Source organism: Homo sapiens, chromosome 4 (assembly GCF_000001405.40).
Source record: "Homo sapiens chromosome 4, GRCh38.p14 Primary Assembly".
Classification (NCBI taxonomy): domain Eukaryota; kingdom Metazoa; phylum Chordata; class Mammalia; order Primates; family Hominidae; genus Homo; species Homo sapiens.
Window position 1 is genome coordinate 70,811,936 of NC_000004.12, and position 3,847 is coordinate 70,815,782.

Sequence of the window (3,847 nt, forward strand, 5' to 3'; positions counted from 1 at the left end):
GCTTAACTCTCCACCTTTCGAGTATGGATTGTGCTTAGTAACTTGCTTTAAGAGTACAATATGTAAAGAAGAAAAAAAATTTATAGTAACCTGGCAAACACTATCTTGGCCAGGTGATCAAAATTTGTATTAATATAATGAGTGATAAGCCCTATTAAAAATATGCACCCTTGATGTGATGAAAATGCCCCTTTGTGGTCTTCCTCCTAAGACCAGAAGGAAAACAATCAGAAAACCTCACCTTACGAACATTCTACAAAACCAGCTAGTACCCCTTAACACTGTCATGGTCATCAAAAACAAGTCTGGGATCCTTCTGTAGTTCATAAGCGTGACGACTGGGCTTTCACACTTCTGTGTGAGATGTGCCTCCTTCACACCTTGTTACATCAGGACATTACCCATCTGACGTGAAAAAAGTTAAAAAGGTTGGGAATCTGAAGTCATTAAAAACAAAAACATCTGAGGTGGTTAAAGAGACATAACTGAATGTAATTGTGGGATCCTGGAATGAAAATAATATTTGGAAAAAAACTAAAGATCTGAACTGTGGGATTTAGTTAATAGTAATGTATCAAATTTGGTTCCTTAGTTGTGACAAATATCCTGCAGTAATGTAGGATACTAACAATAGGTATACAGGTGGGTGAGGCGTATACAGGAACTCTGTACTCTTTTTGCAATGTCTCTGTAGATCTAAAACTTTGTTTTTTTTTTGAGATGGAGTGTCACTCTGTCGCCCAGGCTGGAGTGCAATGGCGCAATCTCGGCTCACTGCAACCTCTGCCTCCCGGGTTCGAGCAATTCTCCTGCCTCAGCCTCCTTAGTAGCTAGGATTACAGGCACGCATCACCATGCCCGGCTAATTTTTTGTATTTTTAGTAGAGATGGGGTGTCACCATGTTGGTCAGGGTGGTCTCAAACTCCTGACCTCATGATCCGCCCGACTCAGCCTCCCAAAGTGCTGGGATTACAGGTACGAGCCACCACACCCAGTGATCTAAAACTACTCTAAAATAAAGTTTATATATTAAAAAATTGTGCTTTCATACTCAAAGCAAGTATAGGTCTAACCCTATAGAACCTGACTGAACTCATCCCTAAATGCAGTTTGAGTTCTTACTTATTTCCAAATAGACTCCAAGTTTTGCAAGGTTGATAAGCAGATCGGAACTATGACAAAGTCCTTAGTTCATTCACTATAAGTCAAGTTATAAAAACATATGATGAAACTCTTAAAGGACATTTAACCATTCTGTGAAAGGAGGTTCTCCATTACAGCCTCATTTCAGCTTTGTTCACCAAAAAATGGGGGCGGTTTTTAAATAATTATATTTCAGTAGTTTAGTGGTCCTGTTTTGATTTACAGTAAAACTTCCTTCAAATTAACTTAGCCTAATATATTACCCAAAAAGTTATCCCAAGTCAAATCTTAATAATTCTTAGACAATAGCTGGTTTGGGAACTGTCATCGATGACAGGTCTCCCATGCTGGGAACAGATTAATTTTGATGTTAACACACTACTTTGGTATAAAGATTCTTGTAAGCATGCCAGTCAATATACCAAATCAGAAACCACGTATCTGACAAGCACAATTTCTACACCTAGAATAAGTGGCACAAACTTTAGTCAGTGAATTATCTTGAAATGTAAAATTAATTTAAAAATAGAACCAGTAGGCCAGGTGCAGTGGCTCACACCTGTAATCCCAGTACTTTGGCAGGCCGAGGCAGGCAGATCACTTGAGGCCAGGAGTTCGAGGCCAGTCATGTAGTGAAACCCCATCTTTACTAAAAGTACAAAAATTGGCTTGGCGTGGTGGCACATGCCTGTAATACCAGCTACTCGGGAGGCTGAGATAGGAGAATCGCTTGAACCCAGGAGGCAGAGGTTGCAGTGAGCCAAGATTGCGCTATTGCACTCCGACCTGGGCGACAGAGTGAGACCCTATATTTAAAAAAAAAAAAAATCCAGCAAGCGGTTGTAAGCATCACTGAGGATATCAGATCCCTAAGACTTAATTAAGCATGGAAAAGAAGAGGTAACTCAGGCTTCCAAAGGGCAAGGGCAAGTACAGTGAAAAAGCTGTACAAGTCTCCAGAAAGCAGTAATGACTTAGCATTCTGGATGCTGCTTTATGGCACAAAAGTATCATTCATGGAGTGAGCTGGTGGAAGGTAAAGTTAAGAAAAAATAAAGTATCATTCATATTCAATTACAACATCTATCACAAATACTATGTTCTTCTAGCATAACATTGCTCGTATTCCGCAATTTATTTTTGTCTTGCTGTTACCCAGGCTGGAGTGCAGTGGTGTAACCTGTGTGATCTCAGCTTCCACTTCCCAGGCTCCAGTGATACTCCCACCTCAGCCTCCTGAGTAGCTGGAACTACAGGCGTGAGCCACCATGGCTAGCTAGTTTTTGTATTTTTGGTAGAGATGGGTTTCACCATGTTGCCCAGGCTGGTCTCAAACTTCTAAGCTCAGGTGATCCACCTGCCCCGGCCTCCCAAAGTGCTAGAATTACAGGTGTGAGCCACCATGCTCAGCCCCATCTTGCTTTCTTGAGGAGGCAAGAAATGAATGAATCAACAGCCAGCCCATCAGAAACTGTTAATAACTTGTCTCCCTAGCTCTTGGTCTTTATTCCCAAATGTCTGCCATCTTCTGTCAAGCAGCAGCAGCAAAGGTTCAGAACCTCTTTATTTCCATCATAACCAGGTATTTTTGTTTGTTTTTGTTTTTGAGACGGAGTCTCACTCTGTTGCCCAGGATGGAGTGCAGTGGCGTGATCCCGGCTCACTGCAACCTCTGCCTCCCTGGTTCAAGCAATTCTCCTCAGCCTCCCAAGTAGCTGGGATTATAGGCATGCACTATCACACCCGGCTAACTTTTATATTTTTAGTACAGACAGGGTTTCACCATGTTGGCCAGGCTAGTCTCGAACTCCTGGCCTCAGGTGATTCGCCCACCTCGGCCTCCCAAAGTGCTGGGATTACAGGAATGAGCCACCAAGCCAGGCCATAACCAGGTATGTTTTCAAATCACAAGTCTTTGAATAAACTTGTTAAATTTTGCCTGTGGGCTTCAAATTAAGATTCTTAAACATATCTTGGTGATCCTTGTGACCTTCAATGAATCCATCCATATTCTAGAGTCTACTTTGGTTATACACCTTCATGCTTTATCCCCAAGTGCTTTCAGAACCATTTCACTAAGATGTTCTAATGCTGACATAAAACCTTGAAACTATAAAAGGGGAGATTTAAGAATTCAGCGATGTAAAAATAGTTTCTGCCATCATGAGCAAACAAAGAGGACAAACTGGGGGGAAAAGGTATTTAAAGCTCACTATAGGAACAAAGTACTCCTGCAGATTAGTTAAAAGACCAAAGCCAATAGAAAAGCGGTTAATAAACATCACACAAAGGCAATCAGCCAAACTCAGATTATGGAAACCTACAGGTTAATCTTATTTCTTCAGCAAATAAGAAAAAAATAAATGGATGGCAAAACATCCTGAATAAGAGAAGAAACAGACACTTCAACTTTACTAAAGATATCCAAATGGCTAGTAAGCTTATGAAAAAGTACTATTCATTGTCAGGGAATGCAAATTAAAACCAGAAGATACCACTACACAATGGCTAAAATTATAGACTGACAACAGCAAATGGTAAGGATATGGACCTACTAGAACTCTGGGAATGTAAACCAGGATAACCATTTAGGAAAAGGTTTGTCGTCTTCTAGTAAAATTTAAAATACATCAACTCAGGATAATCTCACTCCTAAATACTTATCCAAATTAAATTAAATTAAAATGTAGGTTCACAAAAAGG

At 40.4% G+C, this 3,847-nt stretch overlaps 1 non-coding gene across 1 annotated transcript; it reads left to right on the forward strand.

Annotated features, from left to right (window-relative positions):
• The first annotated feature begins 310 nt into the window (after positions 1 to 310).
• Positions 311 to 411, forward strand: LOC124900900 (small nucleolar RNA U13). Its single transcript, XR_007058542.1, has one exon. It is a non-coding gene; the product is annotated as a small nucleolar RNA U13 (small nucleolar RNA).
• The last annotated feature ends 3,436 nt before the right edge of the window (positions 412 to 3,847 follow it).